Source organism: Homo sapiens, chromosome 10 (genome assembly GCF_000001405.40).
Source record: "Homo sapiens chromosome 10, GRCh38.p14 Primary Assembly".
NCBI lineage: Eukaryota > Metazoa > Chordata > Mammalia > Primates > Hominidae > Homo > Homo sapiens.
The window spans coordinates 106,973,089-106,991,406 of record NC_000010.11 but is presented as its reverse complement, the minus strand read 5'-3'; the positions used below and the strand labels follow the sequence as shown (position 1 = coordinate 106,991,406).

General features: G+C 39.7%; 1 protein-coding gene across 16 annotated transcripts in view, besides 1 other annotated feature; it reads left to right on the top strand.

Annotated features, from left to right (window-relative positions):
- The window catches only part of SORCS1 (sortilin related VPS10 domain containing receptor 1), a 607,476-nt gene that overhangs the window by 189,732 nt on the left and 399,426 nt on the right, over positions 1-18,318 (top strand). The gene's annotated exons all lie outside the window — the stretch shown is intronic.
- Positions 10,069-10,128: an enhancer, noted in NCBI's record as "active region_3991". NCBI's record gives its function as "activates an Ori minimal core promoter by ATAC-STARR-seq in GM12878 lymphoblastoid cells {active_cell/tissue: GM12878}" and the evidence as "EXISTENCE:reporter gene assay evidence [ECO:0000049][PMID:35858748]".

The window sequence follows — 18,318 nt, the reverse complement described above, 5'->3', positions numbered from 1 at the left end:
GCTCTCATTGTTTTATGTTTTAGTTTCATTTATTTGAGGAATAGAAAGGCCAGGATGTGGGTGTCATCTTCCTATCCAGCTTGTCAAACATGTCACTGTGGGGAGAATTACTGAGCCATTTGACTTCTGCAACCAGAAAACATGAAAGCTGAAATAACACTCTGGCTGCTAGAACACGTGCTGAATAGGCACTGGTGTGGATGGAAAGCTCTCCTGTATCCCGAGGGCCTTCCGTGTCAAATATAAAATGTAAGTCGAAGGCAATGGAACATAAAGTTCTATGCTGTACCTGGTATTTGACAAATGGGTGAACATAAGCATAAGTCAGATTAGTTAGTATCATGGAATACTGAACAGGTGAAAAAGTGGCAGCTTTCTTTTCAACATGATGTGGAAGAACTGACCTCCAGTAACCAATGGCTAGGCATGAAGGTTCCTTTAAGCAAGATTATTTTAGCTGCATTATAACTGTGAAATCACAAATTTAAAATCATTCATTTTGCAAAAGAGTAGTGTGCCTCAAATAAAAGAAGTATTTATACATTTTCTTAAGTTACAACCTCTTTTAATGAGATTTTATTTTAATTGGTGGTTTTTGTCTGTTTAATTTTAACAGTGTACTCACAATTTTTCAGAAGTAGACCTTATGCATTAACTAAGTAAATGCGATGCAGGTAGAAATGGAAAATGGGAGATGTGAAGGTCTACATTTTCTCCGATCTCCTTAAGTCCTGTCATTCTTAATTACAAACGTTTGGTCCCCATTTGCCCTTGTGATTTGTACTATCACACGTCATGACAAAAGGACCAGCATTCGTTCTGAAGAAAGAAAAAGTTGGCTGGGTGTGGTGGCTCATGCCTGTAATCCCAGCACTTTGGGAGGCTGAGGCAGGCAGATCACTTGAGGTCAGGAGTTCGAGACCAGCCTGGCCAACATGGTGAAAACCCATCTCTACTAAAAATACAAAAAATAGCCAGGTGTGGTGCCTCACACCTGTAATCCCAGGTACTCAGGAGGCTGAGGCAGGAGAATCACTTGAACCCAGGAGGTGAAGGTTGCAGTGAGCCAAGATCACGTCACTGCACTCCAACCTGGGCAACAGAGCAACTCCATCTCAAAAAAAGAAAAATTTGAAATAGCAGTAGACTTCCAAATCTGTTAGAAGGCCTTGTTTTTAGAATAGGGCAAATGTTTGCTTTAGTCAGAGCTTGACTGGATGAGATATGTTAGGAGAGTAACAGTCTCCTCTTGCTACTTGTTTCTGAGCAGGTAATCTAAAAAGGAAAGCCCTATACTACTCCAGAGGTATTTTCATTGCAAAAGAAATGTTTCCAAGGTGGCCCTTCTTTGCACCTGTTCAATAAATGACCTTTAACATTAACAGCAACATGAATCAGGCTGAATTAAGAAAACATGGGTAGGCCGGGTGTGGTGGCTCATGCCTGTAATTCCAGTACTGTGGGAGGCCGAGGCAGGTGGATCTCGAGGTCATGAGATTGAGACCATCCTGGCTAACATGGTTAAACCCCGTCTGTACTAAAAATACAAAAAATTAGCCAGGCGTGGTGGCGGGCGCCTGTAGTCCCAGCCACTCGGGAGGCTGAGGTGGGAGAATGGCATGAAGCTGGGAGGTGGAGCTTGCAGTGAACCGAGATCGCGCCACTGCACTCCAGCCTGGGCGACAGAGTGAGACTCCATCTCAGAAAAAAAAAAAAAAAAAAAAAACAAAAAAAAACAGAAAAAATATGAGTATATAAAGAGAAGTTCTGCTTTGGAATGGTTTATATAAATGTATATAAATGAAGGGACACAGTGCCTGTTGCTGCAACCAGAAAGCCCTATGCAAGAAGGGGGAGAGGATGAGGATTAGAAAGTAGAAAGACTGCTGGGAAAACTACATTGTGAGTGGACCTTAAAGTGTCAAAAGTGCCCTGCTGAATGGAAACAAGGAACAGATCATGCTTGAAGATGGCTAGTAGAGAAAAGGAGTGAGAGTTAAGTTCCCATACATCAAGTTTACTGCTGTTAGTGGACCTGGCAGAATCAAGGTACTACCAAGGGAGATAGACAGCCTCGAAGGAAATTTTAGGAAAGGCATTGGAGTATTCTTTTTTTTTTTTTTTTTTTTTTTTTTCTGAGGTGGAGCCTTTCACTGACACCCAGGCTGGAGTGTGGTGATGCAGTCTCAGCTCACCTCATTCTCTGCCTCCTGGGTTCAAGCGATTTTCCTGCCTCAGCCTCCTGAGTAGCTGAGATTACAGGTACCCACCACCACGACCAGCTAATTTTTTTTTTTTTTTTGTATTTTTAGTAGAGGCAGGGTTGCACTATGTTGGTCAAGCTGGTCTCAAACTCCTGACCTTGTGATCTGCCTGCCTCAGCCTCTCAAAGTGCTGGGATTACGGGTGTGAGCCACCGTGCCTGGGAGGCACTTGCAGTATTCTAACACCATTTACATTAGAGGAAAAAAGCCCCTCCTAGGGACGTTTGATCCTTGTCTCATCAGTACAAGATTCTATTTTATAGAATATTCTCTACCACTTTGCTTAGTATACTATAGTTTTAAGTGATGGGACTTCTGGCTTTTTCCCCTGGGAGTTTATTACAAATTCTGAAAATATTTCAGTGTTACAATTGTGTTAAAAAGTCACATTTTGAGACCTGATTTTTTATTTATTGTAGAGCATTGCAACCATTTATAGTGCTATATGAGTGTTAAATATTAATGCATTTTTCCTACTCTGCCAATTCCCAGGCATCCTGCGAGTGTATAATTCTGGAAAGGCAGTCAAAAGATTTCTAGGAGCTGTCCCACATTAGCCTTAAAAGGTGACCTTCTTGCAGAATTCTAAAAAAAAAAAGTAAGAATATTTACTCACTTTTTGACCCAGTAGCTTCCTGGATAAGGGATTCTTTCCAGAAGGAGGCAGATTTTTTCAGACGCTAAGACGTCCAACTGAGAGACTGCTGTAATTCTCAACCCTCTAATTCCAACTAATGTTAAGCAGTCTTACCTTAGCCAGTGGTAGTGAGAGATAATATATTTTTCATCCACCAGCCTTCTTATCAGCTGATATATGAATGCTGTCCTTCCTCTGTTACACATCTGAAAAAATAACAATTTTAAAGCCACCAACGTTTTAGAACTTGGAAGTAAGTGGCTAGATTCCTTTGCTCCCCAGGTGGAAGTGAGTATGGCATGACTCTATAGAATAAAGATGCTGTCCAAAGTTGGCAGGTGAGCTAGCGATCAACGTCTGCCTTTCCCACTACTTCTGTTGATGGCTTAATTGGTCACAATACAGAAAAGTCACAGGGCATGGAAAGAAATGGCAGATTGATAGCTTCCTATATTCTTCTGTAATATAGTGAGAGAGAGGAAGATGAGTCTGGTGAAATGGCCTTTACTATAACAGGGTCAGTATATTTCTGTTTTTATCAATTTTTGTTAAAGTTGGCCCTGAGGGAATTCACCTTGGATAAATTCAGAAAAGAAAAGAAAAATCTTCCTAGGACATAAGTGAACAAGTGATTTTGTAATATAATAAAAATTATTATCTTATTTAAAATAGGGTTAAGAAAGTAGACAGAACTTGAAAAAGACAGGGTTGTTATTTTAAGAAGGAGCCCCAGAGTGATAGTGGAACAGCTTATTACCAGGTTTTCTGCAGGTAATAATTATAAATTCTGAGGAAGAAGAAAAAAATCTTTGAGGGCACTGGAGAGGGATCAGCAACAGACAGAAACTGAATGGGTTTTAATCCATGAAAGAGGAGAACCTCAGTAGGCGGGAACTATGTTTATACAGTTTCTCCCCTGAGGGCACTGCCCGGTCCGTAAGGCATTGGGTGGCTATGCGCCAAGAAGAGAGCTGCTGCACACAGGTGTCCATGGGTAGAACGTGGGGCTTCCAGAGTAGCTAGAGATTGTGGAGAAGTCCCAAGAATGAAGAAGCCATGGAAGTTAGAGCCTCAAAATCTGAGTGAAATACTTGCTGATTCCTGAATTCTAAGGAGCAGGTAGAAACTACTGTCAAGACTGAAAGAGCTGAGAGAGGATTTCAGTTTCTGATCACTGCAGGGGAAACAGACTTTGGAGTTTGAATTCTGCCATCTTAGAGGAGCTTAGTAAGTAGCTGAGCCTTCCATGAAAACACACTTTACAAATAAAGACTATGTACCAGAATAAAGGAATTTTCCAGAAGCCTAAGTGAAAATCCAAAGAGTCTCATCCAAAGAAAATGTAAAGCTAAGCCTCTGCATGTTCCAGGTTATCAGCCAGTAATTTTTTAAAAGCCTATTAGGAGTGAAAAAATTATTCAGAAGAAGAAAAGATCCAGTTCCCTGCAACATCATCCGTAAGGTTCGATGAACAATCAAAAATTACTAGTCATACAGAGAAAGTGGAAAATGTTACCCATTGTCAAGGAAAAAAGTAGCCAAGAGAAACCAACCTGAAGATAGCCCAGTTGTTAGAGCTAACAGCAAAGACTTAAAGCAACTATTGCAAATATGTTTAAGGGCTTAAAGAAAAAGATGAGAGAATAGATGGGGGTCACAGAAGAGAAGTGGCAACTCTCATGAAAAAAGCAAAATAAAAATTCCAGAAGTGAAAACATACGATCTAAAATGAAAATATTTATTGAATGGACAGAGTGGAGACTGTGTAAGGAAAGGTCATTAAACTTGTAGACGAATAGAAATTATCCAATCTGAGGAAAAAGAAAGAATAAGTCTCAAAAAATAAGCAGAGCTTTAGTACCTGTGAGAAAAATATCAAGCAATTTACAATCTGTGTACATAGAGTACCAGTGAGGAAAGAGAGAGATGGGGTATAAAAAAGTTACACACTCACAGACACACACACACACACACACACACACACACACACACACGGTTGTATATATATTCTTAAGAATCAACTTCATATTAGGTAACAGTCTTGTCTAAAATAAATTATGGAAATAATGAATATTTTAGCAGTTTGACTATGGTATGGCTAAGTATGGTTTCCTTTATATCTAGCCTACTTTGGGTTTGTTGAGCTGTTGAGCTTCTTAAATATGTAAGTTTTTTAAACCAAATTTGGGGATTTTTATCATTTTTTTACACGTGTGTTTGTATATATATTTGCTGTACATATGTATGTGTATATATAGGTTATACATATATGAATATACATGCTGTATGTACATATATATCATGTATATGTTAAAAGTTTCCAAATTTGTTTTCAAAAAACTTAACTCATTTAAGATAGATATACAGGAACCCACATTTAGCCATATCGTAAACTGCTAAAACATAGTATTCATTGTTCCACAATTCATTTCTGACATGACTATCACCTAATATGAGGTTGATTCTTAACTTTTAATTGTTACATCATGATCACCACTAGAACACAAGCATGTGGAAGGAGCTTACTAGATCTATGAAGAGATAGACAAGGATTGGGTCCTGTATCTTACACTTAATGACTGAACCCTTGGGGAAAGGGGTACTCTGTGTCACATATTCATCATCTATAAGATTGCCAATAACCATAGGGCTGTTGTGAAAGCTTAAATGAGTCCAGGCTCGGTGGCTGATACCTGTAATCCCAGCACTTTGGGAGACCAAGGCAGGAGGATCATGAGGTCAGGAGATGGAGACCATCCTGGCCAACATGGTGAAACCCCGTCTCTACTAAAAATACAAAAATTGGCTGGGTGTGGTGGTGGGCGCCTGTAATCCCAGCTACTCGGGAAGCTGAGGCAGGAGAATCGCTTGAACCCGGGAAGTTAGAGGCTGCAGTGAGCCAAGATCGTGCCACTGCACTCCAACCTGGTGACAGGGTGAGACTATCTCAAAAAAAAAAAAAAAAAGCTTAAGTGAAATAATAGTACATGAATAGACTTCACGTGTTGTCTTGAACATAGCTGACACTCTGTAGACATTCATTTCCTTTCCTATTTCCATTCTTTTCTTCAAGGCATTTAGAGTGCCTTTAAGCGTAATTCTGGGTTTTCTATGTAGCATAAGACATAAGGATATATTTTATAAGAGAAAAAATACACTTCGTAATTTCAAATCAACTTCAACTTGGTTTATAACGTATTTCATGTAATGTTTCCACTCAAAAGTCATTGGAGGATATGCATGGCAATCACAGAACTATGACTACATGATTTGCTCACCCTATTTTATTTATTTTTTATTTATTTATGTATTCATTTTGAGATGGAGTTTCGCTCTTGTTGCCCTGGCTGGAGTGCAGTGATGTGATCTTGGCTCACTGCAACTTCCACCTCCCAGGTTCAAGCGATTCTCCTTCCTCAGCCTCCTGAGTAGCTGGGATTACAGGTGTGCACCACCATGCCCAGCTGATTTTGTAATTTCAGTAGAGACGGGGTTTCACCGTGTTGGTCAGGCTGATGTGGAACTTCTGACCTCAGGTGATCCGGCCACCTCAGCCTCCCAAAGTGCTGGGATTACAGGCATGAGCCACGGCACCCGGCCTGCTTGCCCTATATTTTTCAACAACTTAATGAGAAGGTGGTTCATGTTTACTAATGTTTTCATCATATTCCTGTGTCCATGAGGTTTCAGGATTGAAATCAGCTGTGAAATAAGTATAAAAGTGTGTGTCTATAAAGATAAAATTTAATTTCATGCTCTTTACTACCACATGAATGGTGGTGATAATAGTAACTTTTACAATTAAGAATGGTAGGCCAGGTGCAGTGGCTCATGCCTGTAATCCCAGCCCTTTGGGAGACCCAGGTGGGCGGATCACGAGGTCAGGAGATAAAGACCATCCTGGCTAACACGGTGAAACCCCATCTCTACTAAAAATGCAAAAAATTAGCTGGGCGTGGTGGAGGGCACCTGTAGTCCCAGCTACTCAGGAGGCTGAGGCAGGAGAATGGTGTGAACCCGGGAGGTGGAGCTTGCAGTGAGCCGAGATCGCACCACTGCACTCTAGCCTGGATGACAGAGCAAAACTCTGTCTCAAAAAAAAAAAAAAAAATGGAAATCACTATTTAATTTCTGAGAAATTAAGTTTAGCTCTGTCTAAAGTCTTGCAAAGGAATCAGAAATGCTTTAGACATCTGTTGGGCAATTTCCTTGTGAGTAAATAAGCTTGTGTCCGTGGGAAATATGTAAAAAATATAAACTAATCACTCTTACCCATAAGATGCCATGCTATCTTCCTAAAATCCGACTTTCTGATTATTGAGATAATACTTCAGTAGGACGTCCTTGTCTTTATGGTTCCCTTTTATAATTGACTAAAATATGTCAGCCTTTTAAAATATGTGGTTCAAGTCCTGTGATACATAACGTGTATTGTTAACTTCCATTAACCCAGGAATTGGTAAAAGCCATTAGTTCCTGCATTTACAATTTTTTAATAACTGGCTTTTCTTTAAAATATTTCACCAGCTTTCTTATTAATTATCACCCTACTTCTGAATACCAAGTTAGATATGACCTTTACAAGTTGCCATTAAGGCCCTAGACAACTTAAAGGTAACAAGAATTATGCTGTTTGGTCCTCCTGCTAGAAAATTTCCCACAATTGCTACGGTTTAGGTGATTTAGGCTCCAGTTTTGCTGGTGCTGCTCTTCCGTGTTAAGTTCTTCAATTTAGTGTTTTGTAGTAAAATCAGACACAGAGATGGCAGCGTATGTTTGAACTTAAATCTTTACCAGGGAACACTATTCCTTAGTGTTCCTGGCTACTATTCCTGGCTACAAAATAGGGGCAAAATCTGGTTTCAGAGACCATGGGCAGTGTTGCTTACGGGACCTCTAATAGTGAAGAAAAGACAAATAGCTCCTTGGGAAATAGGAAGCACTTCTTACTTAGATAGCTGACTCTTCAATTATTGTATCACAGAATAAAAGCAAGGCTGATAGGGTCCTCATTGTCCTGTGGAAAGAGAAGAATGATTTCCTCTGATTTTAGAATTCTACACATTAGGTTGTCTACTACCTATGAGGTAAAGTATATAAGAAAATAATACTAGAGTGTAACTGTAAATAATACAAGCAACTATATATATATCAGAATATTATCAGTTTTAAATTTACCCATTAATATGTTGCTTCCCTAGTGTTAATTTCTAAGAATAGAAATATGTATATGTATATTTATATATAGAAATATGTATATGTATATTTATATATAGAAATATGTATATATATTTATATATAGAAATATGTATATATAGAGAAATATGTATATTTATATATAGAAATATGTGTATATATAGAGATGTATATATATTTATAGAAATATATATATATATAACCTCCTCTGAGATAATGAGGAAATAAACTGTATATTGATGCCAAAATAAATATTTAAAAATCACTCATTTGCATGTCTTTTTTTTTAAGCACCTTTGGTATATCATTCATTTGATCAACAGTTATTAAATCTCTGTGCCAGGAAGCTAGGCACTTGTGATATAAGGTGAATATAGTAAGATCTCTGGTATCAAAAAGCTCTCAATAGGCTGCCTTCAGGACTAATCAGGTGTTCTTTATTTGGTTATTTTCCTATTCTTAGAAATTAACACTAGGGGAGCAACATATTAATGGGTGAATTTTAAACTGCTAATATTCTGATAATGTTGGAATGCAGTTTTAGTAAACTGCAGCCAGCAAGCCAAAGCTTTGTTATTTCTAGTATACTTAATCATCCTGGCTGTATCTTTTACCTGTAATAGTGATTCCTTTAAGGAACTGAGGGCAAAGTCAAATCCGTAAGAAAAACAAGGCAACAGAGTTTGTCTTAACGGTTGAATGCCTTGAAAAGATATTGTTCTTAAATGTTGAGTTCGAATAGATTTCTGGAAATGGTAATAGTTTGGTGAAAGACATGTGCCCCCTACTCCCCCTTAAAATCTAAACCAGCTTGTCATCCTTGAAACTGGGCACAGTTCTCTGTTTACATTTCTGCATTTCACGGACTAACATACTGTGAAATCTCAAGCTAAGCTGTCTTGGCTAATGAATATACAGTATGTTGAAAAAGTATGATCCTTACCATGGAAGGCAGAAGTACAATTTTGTTAGCAATTTCTGTATGTCAATATTTACTTAGCTATATGTATATACACACACATACAAATTAATATTATCCTTACAAGTCAGCACAGTGAAAATCATAGGCATCAAGTCTTGGTTGAGTCTAAAGATTATATTTTCTTTGACTAAATTTCAGTAATGGCCTATCTTGTGGTTAAAGGATCTAATTCAACCTTTTCTACACAATCTAATCGAAGACTACGTTCCAATTTTTTAAATTATACCTGAGAACTCCTAGGTACCTAAATCCTTAACAGAAATAATTACTGTGCCTCGGCTAATGTATGGATGCCTGATTCTTGGTGACCTGGAACTTGGAACTCCACAAAAACAATGAAAGTCAATATGTTTGAATGGGTGTTGGGGTCAGAAACTCAGGAACCCGCAATGGATGTTTTGTGCTTGCACTATTTCGTGGGCTTCTCTTAGGAGATCCATGAAGACTTCAAACCCTAATAGACACCAGGAGCATCGAGTAGTTGGGAGGACATTCACAGGAAAGAGGGACAGGAAGAACAAACAACAAAACAGTCTGTTATATGCTCCTTGGCAATGTGATGAGGAGCCTTGTCCTGCTTTCTTCTTTTGGATATTGGTTATTTTCCTGAGCACGGCCATTTTTTAGTATGCCTCAGGCTATTGTTGGAGACGAGAAAAAAAATCCTCAAAGATGAAAAATGCAGTTATTCTTTTGAGTCCTCTGAGATTATAAGTACCCAAGGGAAGTGATTACATCATCTGCCTCTGTGCTCTATTTTGAAAGAATGTTGGTTGTATGAGAAAGATAATCTGCATCTTTATAATTGAAGTTCTTTACCTAGAGTTAAATAAATGAACTTTAGAAAGTTGTCCCAGCATTTTGTTTGTAGTTGGTGTTTATTAGAAGTGGTGTATGTCGCATCCATAGCTCTCATCAGACACTCAAAAAAGTTTTTAACCTCAAAAAAGAGCCAGGTGCAACAAGCTCAGCACTCACAATTGCACTAGAATTCAGATTTAATTACTCTCCCAAAGAAAGCATTTGGACAGACTCCTGGTGGCAGACAATTACCACAAATGCATTCTTGCAAACAGATTGAAACTCCTTTAGCTTTCAGTATTCAGTGTTTTCAGCAACATTTCCTTCCTGTTGTATTTATTTATTTATCTGGAGGGAGGGGTAAGTGTTAAGCTTCTTGCATACTGACAACCTAAACACATTTTCTATAACACTACACTCCTGGAAAATAGACTTTCTGAGTCATTCCTATCTAAATTGTGATCTTTTTATTGGTTCAGATCCCTTGAAACTTAAGGAATTGCTTGCATTGTGTCACCCAGTTGTTTTTTTTTTTCCTCATAAACAAATGAAACCTTCAGTTCAAAGTTCAAGGAATCAAGCTTAAACGAAATAAATTAAAGCCCCCTGGGGAATGAGTGTTGAAGGAGAAGAATGAAGAATTGATGACCTGTTAACAGTTATAATTCTCCACTTTGAATTATTGACAGCATGTGACATTATAACCTTACAAATTGCAATCTATAAAGCTTAGAAAATATGACCTTTGCATTACAGTTGGTCTTATAAAGCTTTCAGCATATTACAAACAGCTACCACCAGCATATTTTCTTGTAGGCTGCGGAAAAGAGGAAATATGTATAACAGGAGCACTGGATGCTATTTAGACAGAGCTCAGCAAGGCCACTTACAGGCAGAGTGATAGATGGTGAGTGGCAGAAAAATTTCTAAGCCAGGGTGAAGGTATGAGAAGTTTGCTTGTCATTGATTTGCAGTCACCTAATAGAAATAACTAATTAGTGAAAGTTGGTCGACTTAGCACTTTTTCTCCTCCACTTTTGAAACAGGCAGGGACTGAGAATTTATAAACAGGACAGAGTTGCTCCAGGGTATTTTTGCCAGTATTTCTACCTACTATTGTTCTCCAAGATAGAAGGCAACTAAAAGTCATCAAACTTGGTTTAACATGTGGCCTGGTTTTTACTGTTACCAGTGGTAGAATAAATGTTTATAATTCCTTTATGTAGCTTTGGCAAAAAAAGTAGATCACAGGCATACAATTATTACATGTTTGTTCCAATGTGCTACGTTTGGGCATAACCCATGGAAATGGTTAGACACATTGGCCCAACATCATCTCTGATTTGCTTTTTTTGTTTGTTTTCCTTCTTGGTTCAGGGCATGCATTTGTTAGATTTTACAAATAATCCTCAATGTATTTGTGGTGGAATATGCTCAGGGTTTTGGAAATTGCTCTAGAGTCTTTGGTTCTGCCACCAACTGCCAATGTGGACTTGGGCAATTTATTTAACTTTTTAAAAAGCTTTCATTCACCATAATGATGATAATCACAATATCTAACATTTGAAGGACTACCATGTGGCTGGGCTTCACATACAGTATTTCACTTGATTATCATCGTAATCCAATGAGGTAGGAGCTGACAATGTTCTATACCTTCATGATGAGGAAACTGGAGCATCTAGAGGTTAAGTTACCTCCCACAGTGGCAGAGTGAGGGCACCAGCCTGGCAGTCTGACTCCATAGCGTATTCATTGAAATCAGCCTAAACAAACTTAAATGCCTGAGAGGGCCACACGAGTGATGGCAGAGGGCTCCTGTGACTGAATGGAGAGCCCATATCCTTCAAGCAGCAGGTAGCTGCCACACTCTTCCAGCTAATTTTGTTATGTGGGAAGATAAGCGCAGTACCTCCAGATCTTCCAGTTTTTTTTTTGTTTTTTGTTTGTTTGTTTGTTTTTGTTTTTTTAGAGAAGCAAAAACTCCAGTCTGATATTTTTCAATGCTGAGAACTGAGCCACTTTATTTTAGAAACATACTGAGGGCTAATAATTTGTAGGACAAACCAAACATGATTTGAGGCCACTGTTGTTTGCTGGTCAGTTCATCTGATACAATATAAAATGAACTAAATAATCTCTAAATCCCCCTGTAGCACCAGAATTCTCTAGAATTCTGTGATTATCTTGACTCTGGGTTCCACATGCATATCTTTTTTAATTACTGTCTTACAAACTTCCTAAGGAAGTTTTTCTGGAGTGGGTAACTAAGAAGACCTTGCCTGTCAAAGGTGCCTTTATGCTCCCAGTTCTCTTTGTTTAAAACCATAAAAAGATATTGTTCATTCTCTTACCTTTTCCTATAAAGTATGCAATTATTCACCCTCTTTTTTCCTGGAACAACTTTTCTTTTTTGGCTCCATTTCAACTCCCACCACCCTGGGCCAAGCCTCCAAAATTTTATACCAGTACATTTAAATAGACTCTTAAATGTCTTCTCTACCACTTATGTCTCTAGACCAGGAGTTGGCAAACTACAGCCTGAGAGACAAATCTGGCTCATTGCCTGTTTTGTAAATAAAGTTTTCTTGGAACATAGCCATGCCGATTTGTTGACATATTGTCTATAGCTGCTTTTGTGATACAACTGCAGCATTGAGAAGTAATGACAAACATCTTGTGGTCCACAAACCAAAAATACTTACTATTTAGTCTTTTTTTTTTTTTTTGAGATGGAGTCTCATTCTGTCGCCCAGGCTGGAGTGCAGTGGCACTATCTCAGCTCACTGCTACCTCCGCCTCCTGGGTTCAAGGGATTCTCCTGCCTCAGCCTCCTGAGTAGCTGGGATTACGGGTGCACGCCACCACACCTGGCTAATTTTTGTATTTTTAGCAGAGACGGGGTTTCACCATGTTGGTCAGGCTGGTCTCAAACTCCTGACCTCATGATCTGCCTGCCTCGGCCTCCCAAAGTGCTGGGATTACAGGCGTGAGCTACCATGCCCGGCCACTATTTAGTCTTTTAAGAAAAACTTTAATACTTGCTAATCCGCTCCTTACATGGCTGTCAGATTAAACTTTGTATTTCTAGTACTGTATGTGTCACCTCTGTGCTCAAAAATCTATAATCGTTTTCCATACTTTATTATACACATAAAGACTCCTAGGGATTTCTTAGTCTGGAATTAGAGACCACTCACAAAGGCCATCCTCTATCTTTTCAGTCATATTTTCTAACATCATTCTGATCTCCCACCAGGCTGGTTAAAATGATTAACCACAGGCCAGGCATGGTGGCTTACACCTGTAATTGCAGCACTGTGGGAGGCCGAGGTGGGTGGATAACCTGAGGTCAGGGGTTCGCGACTAGCCTGGCCAACATGGTGAAACCCTGTCTCTACTAAAAATACAAAACAACAGCCGGATGTGATGGTGGGTGCCTATAATCCCAGCTACTCAGGAGGCTGAGGCAGGAGAATCGCTTGAACCCAGGAGGCAGAGGTTGTAGTGAGCCGAGATCGTGCCTTGCACTCCAGCTTGGGCAACAAGAGCAAAACTCCATCTCAAAAAAAATGATGAACCACAAACATATCATGCGCACTCGAACTCTGACATTTTGGGAATGTGCTACCATTTTGCAAAGCAATTTGCAGTTCAACATTCTTTATGATATTTAGTAGACATTTATGATTTGGACTAAACAAATTATTTATCGAAGCCGTACTATGTGTCAAGGTTGCTGGTATTCCAGCACAAATAATCTCATTTGTCCCATATTGGCTCATATTTAAAAGATGCATATTTGTATATTGTGTAATTGTCAGTAATACACTGAAAATATACTGGTGCTTTCTTTATGTCAGGTGCTGTCCTAGCACAAGAAATTATAAAAACAAAACAAAATTCAGCGGGAACAAATTAAAAAAAAAAAAAAAAATCCAATGAATGACACAGGTTAAACAAATAATAGAAGTAATTTGCTTCAGTCATAATAGAAGCATGATACTAAAGAAGCACAGATGATTGTCTGTTCACTGATGAACAGACAACCTAAGAATGGGAGAAAATTTTTGCAATCGACCCATCTGACAAAATTCTAATATCCAGAATCTACAAGGAACTTAAACAAATTTACAAGAATAAAACAACCCCATCAAAAAGTGGGCAAAGGATATGAGCAGACACTTCTCAAAAGAAGACATTTATGCGGCCAAATATGAAAAAAAGCTCATCATCATGGATCATTAGAGAAATGCAAATCCAAACCACAATGGGATACCATCTCATGCCAGTTAGAATGGCGATTATTAAAAAGTCAGGAGACAATAGATGCTAGCAAGGCTGTGGAGAAATAGGAACGCTTTTATACTGTTGGTGGGAGTGTAAATTCGCTCACCCATTGTGGAAAACAGTGTGGTGATTCCTCAGGGATCTAGAAACCAGAAATAATTTGGCCCAGCAATCTTGTTACTGGGTATATACGCAAAGGAATATAAATCATTCTACTATAAAGACACATGCACATGTATGTTTATTGCAGCACTGTTTGCAATAGCAAAGACATGGAACCAACCCAAATGCCCATCAATGATTGACTGGATAAACAAAATGTGGTACATATACACCATGGAATACTATGCAGCCATAAAAGAGAATGAGATCATGTCCTTTACAGGGACACAGATAAAGCTGGAAGCCATCATCCTCAGCAAACACAGGAACAGAAAACCAAACACCACATGTTCTCACTCATAAGTGGGAGTTAAACAAAGAGAACACATAGACACAGGGAGGGGAACAACACACACCGGAGCCAATTGGGGGTGAGAGGCAAGGGGAAGGAGAGCATTAGGACAAATACCTAATGCATGTGCGGCTTAAAACCTAGATGATGGCAGCCGGGCGCGGTGGCTCACGCCTGTAATCCCAGCACTTTGGGAGGCCAAGGTGGGCGGATCATGAGGTCAGGAGATCGAGACCATCCTAGCTAACACGGTGAAACCCCATCTCTACTAAAAATACAAAAAATTAGCCGGGTGTGGTGGCGGGCTTCTGTAGTCCCAGCTACTCGGGAGGCTAAGGCAGGAGAATGGCGTGAACCCGGGAGGCGGAGCTTGCAGTGAGCCGAAATCGCGCAGCTGCACTCCAGTCTGGGTGACAGAGCGAGACTCCGTCTCAAAAAAAAAAAAAAAACAAAAAAACCTAGATGATGAGTTGATAGGTGCAGCAAACCACCATGGCACATATATACCTATGTAGCAAACCTGCATGTTCTGCACATGTATTCCAGAACTGAAAATTAAAAAAAAAAAAAACAGATGAAGCAACAGATTTCCCTGTCAAAAGAGGTTGGGAAGGCTTCATGGAGGAGATGGCTTTTTTTTTTTTTTTTTTGAGACAGAGTCCAGGCTGGAGTACTATCGCATGATCTCGGCTCACTGAAACCTCTGCCTCCCGGGTTCAAGCAATTCTTCTGCCTCAGCCTCCTGAGTAGCTGGGATTACAGGTGCGCCACCACTGCCCGCCAATTTTTGTATTGTTAGTAGAGACGGAGTTTCACCACGTTGGCCAGGCTGGTCTTGAACTCCTGACCTCAGGTGATCCACCCACCTCGGCCTCCCAAAGTGCTGGGATTACAGGTGTGAGCCACCATGCCCAGCCAGGAGATGGCCTTTTAACTGTGTATTGGAAATTGAGAAAGCTCTGGGGGCCTGAACATTCATTGTGGTTCAAAGAAGAGCAAGAAGGTCAGTATTACAGGATTGCAGAATTGCAAGAAGTGGCAGCAGACACAACCAGAAAGGAAATATGTGCTATATAGAAAGGACTTTGGATGTCTTATTGAAGAATCAGGAGTTAATCCTGTAGGCAAGGGAACCTTCAGTGTTTCTGAAGAGGAGAGTGACAATCAGATTCTACCTAGACTGTAAATTACTGCATGGCAGAAATTACATTTTGTGCATTTCTTTTTCTCCCTCAGGGTCTACCAGCTCTTCCTTGAACATAGTAAACCTTCAATAGTTAGTTGTTCCTTGATTCATTTCTTCCCAAGGGTGAAGCATTTCTGGCTGGCTTGTAGCCAACAGCATTTTGAGTTTTCTCTGAGCCCGATAAAATGCTGACACCAACACAGTTTTTTAAAAAGCAGCAAATATGGTTAAGGTGATGAGAAGCGTCAGATTCATGACATTTCTCAGTGCCTGTCACCTTCATTCTAGTAGCCAGAAGTGTTGTTTTCAGCTTTCAGCAAAATGTTGGCAAAGTTGAAACTACCTAAAAGAAACTGGAAGTTTGTTCTCATTTAAACCATTTAAGGTAAGGTTGGGAAATTTTGGATCTCTAAACTCTGAGGGAAGCATGCTGTTACTATTATTATTTAAATCAGATGGAAATTAGATAATTGAGAAACTCCCTGAAGTAGTTGACAGAATGGGAGGGTTTTGCTTTTCCTCCAGATGTGTAAAACCCAAGCCTTTGGCCTTCTGTGTTGTAAGCGGTAGGAATTATCAGCCTGCACTAACTGTCAGGAGTTGCCAGGAGTGATGGAGGGCTGCAGGCATTGCTGATGTGAATGTTAGACCTCAGGTTTTGTTTGTGGCATTGACAATTTAAAAAGTAGAGACATTTTGAGATTTGTCATGTGAGGTAGTTTAGCTCCCAAGGAACTGTTTTGTTTCCGCCCTTAACAAAACCTTGGATTGCATTTTCATTCTCAAAACTGCGTAAAGCTGGGATAATAGAGCAGCTCTACCTTTGACTTGATTTTAAGAAGAGTACCAGGGTCCTTCTTTCTTTTGACCTGAGCCAGTTTCTCCTACTGTAGTTCTGCTGCAGACAGGGTTGGTAATTAGCAGGGCTGATAAGTAATAGCTTCAAACCCTTGCTTTGGAGACTGAATCTGGTTTTGGTTTCTGGTGTCTAGGGCCAATTTATCCAGGGGCCACAGCCTCTAGAGCGTGTGAAGGTCACCCTGCATCCTTGTGGATCTCTTGTTAAGCTTCTCCTGCCACCCTTCTCTCAGTGCCATCCTCCCCATCACTGAGTTGTACCACATCACCATATTCACTCTCCACCCAAACATCACTGGGCTTCACATTTGCATTCCTCTGGTCTCACAAAGCCTTCTGTATTGAACATGCTTCACATTTTCCAGCCTTTTGGCTAAATAGGCCTGGATACAGTGAAACCATCTTTATAAAACCTTTCCAGATTCCCGTCTCCCTACTAGGCATTTTGCATACACTTCTATCATAATACTTATCACATTATATAAAGTTGTCTGAAGACCCCAAGGATCAATTTAAGAGCATAGAACTCATTGTTTTGTTGCAATGGAATATCCCCATCACTTAGGCCCCATGTTTGGCCACAGTAATTGCAATCATAAAATAAATAACAGTAGCTATGATGTCATAGCAAGTTACCCTGTGCTAGTCATAACATCAAATGTAGTAGCACAAGTAGGTGCTCATTTAACCCTTGTAAATGGAAGAAAAAGCCTCATGACTGACTCTCACTCCACCCTATCCTACTCCAGATCCAAACAAATTCCTGTTTTGCAAGGACATCACCTTTATCTTTATTGTGCCTGCCTCCCTGCCAGGCACTGCCATTCAATAATTCTGCCAAGTGGTATCTTTCCTCCTGACAGAATGCTAAACAGTGATTTATTGCTTGAATACACATTGCTTTCATGGAAGTGATTTGTTTAAAACAACGTAAAACACTAAATAAATTATTCATTCCATGCTAATTCTTCACTTTTATGTGCTGTAGTAAGTGTCAAAATGAGCAGCCTGTGGGGCATTTTATTTTTGCCACATTAATCTTGGACGATTTAAGGGGGAAAAAAATGGAAGGAAACCTAAAGGAGAGGTTCAATTTTCAAGAAAATAGATTTTTTTTTTCTAGAGCCGCCAGCAGCAGCAGTTCTAGCAGACATGCTTGTCTCTCCTGCCCCCAGGGGCTCTGTGAGTCACCTACAAGACCCCCTTGCAGTCTTATTCCATGTTGTGAACAGTGGCTCTTTTTCTTGGCAGAGAGTGATTCACAATGGCCCCAAGCCTTGTCACAAGGCCAGGAAACAAGTGGATTCTTTCCTGGGAGATTTGCATTTTCTGGAGCAGACAGGGTGTTGGGTTTCTAAATTTCACTGGTGTCTTGATTTTGGATTAAGGGATTATAAAGTGAGAGAAGCAGCAGGGACATACTTACCCATTCCTGCAACAGAGTTCCCACTTGGAATAGAGGTATCATTTGTTTCTAGCCTTCCTTAACCTTCTTTACTGGAAATCTCCTTTCTTTGAACTGGGGACATTGGAGTGATTTTCAGTTTAGGAAAGTCTTCCCTGAGCAGAGGAGAAGACAGATGGTCTTGTTGTAAATTCTTGAGAAGCTTCACTCCTCTTTTCTGAACATGACCCCTTCATGTTTTATAC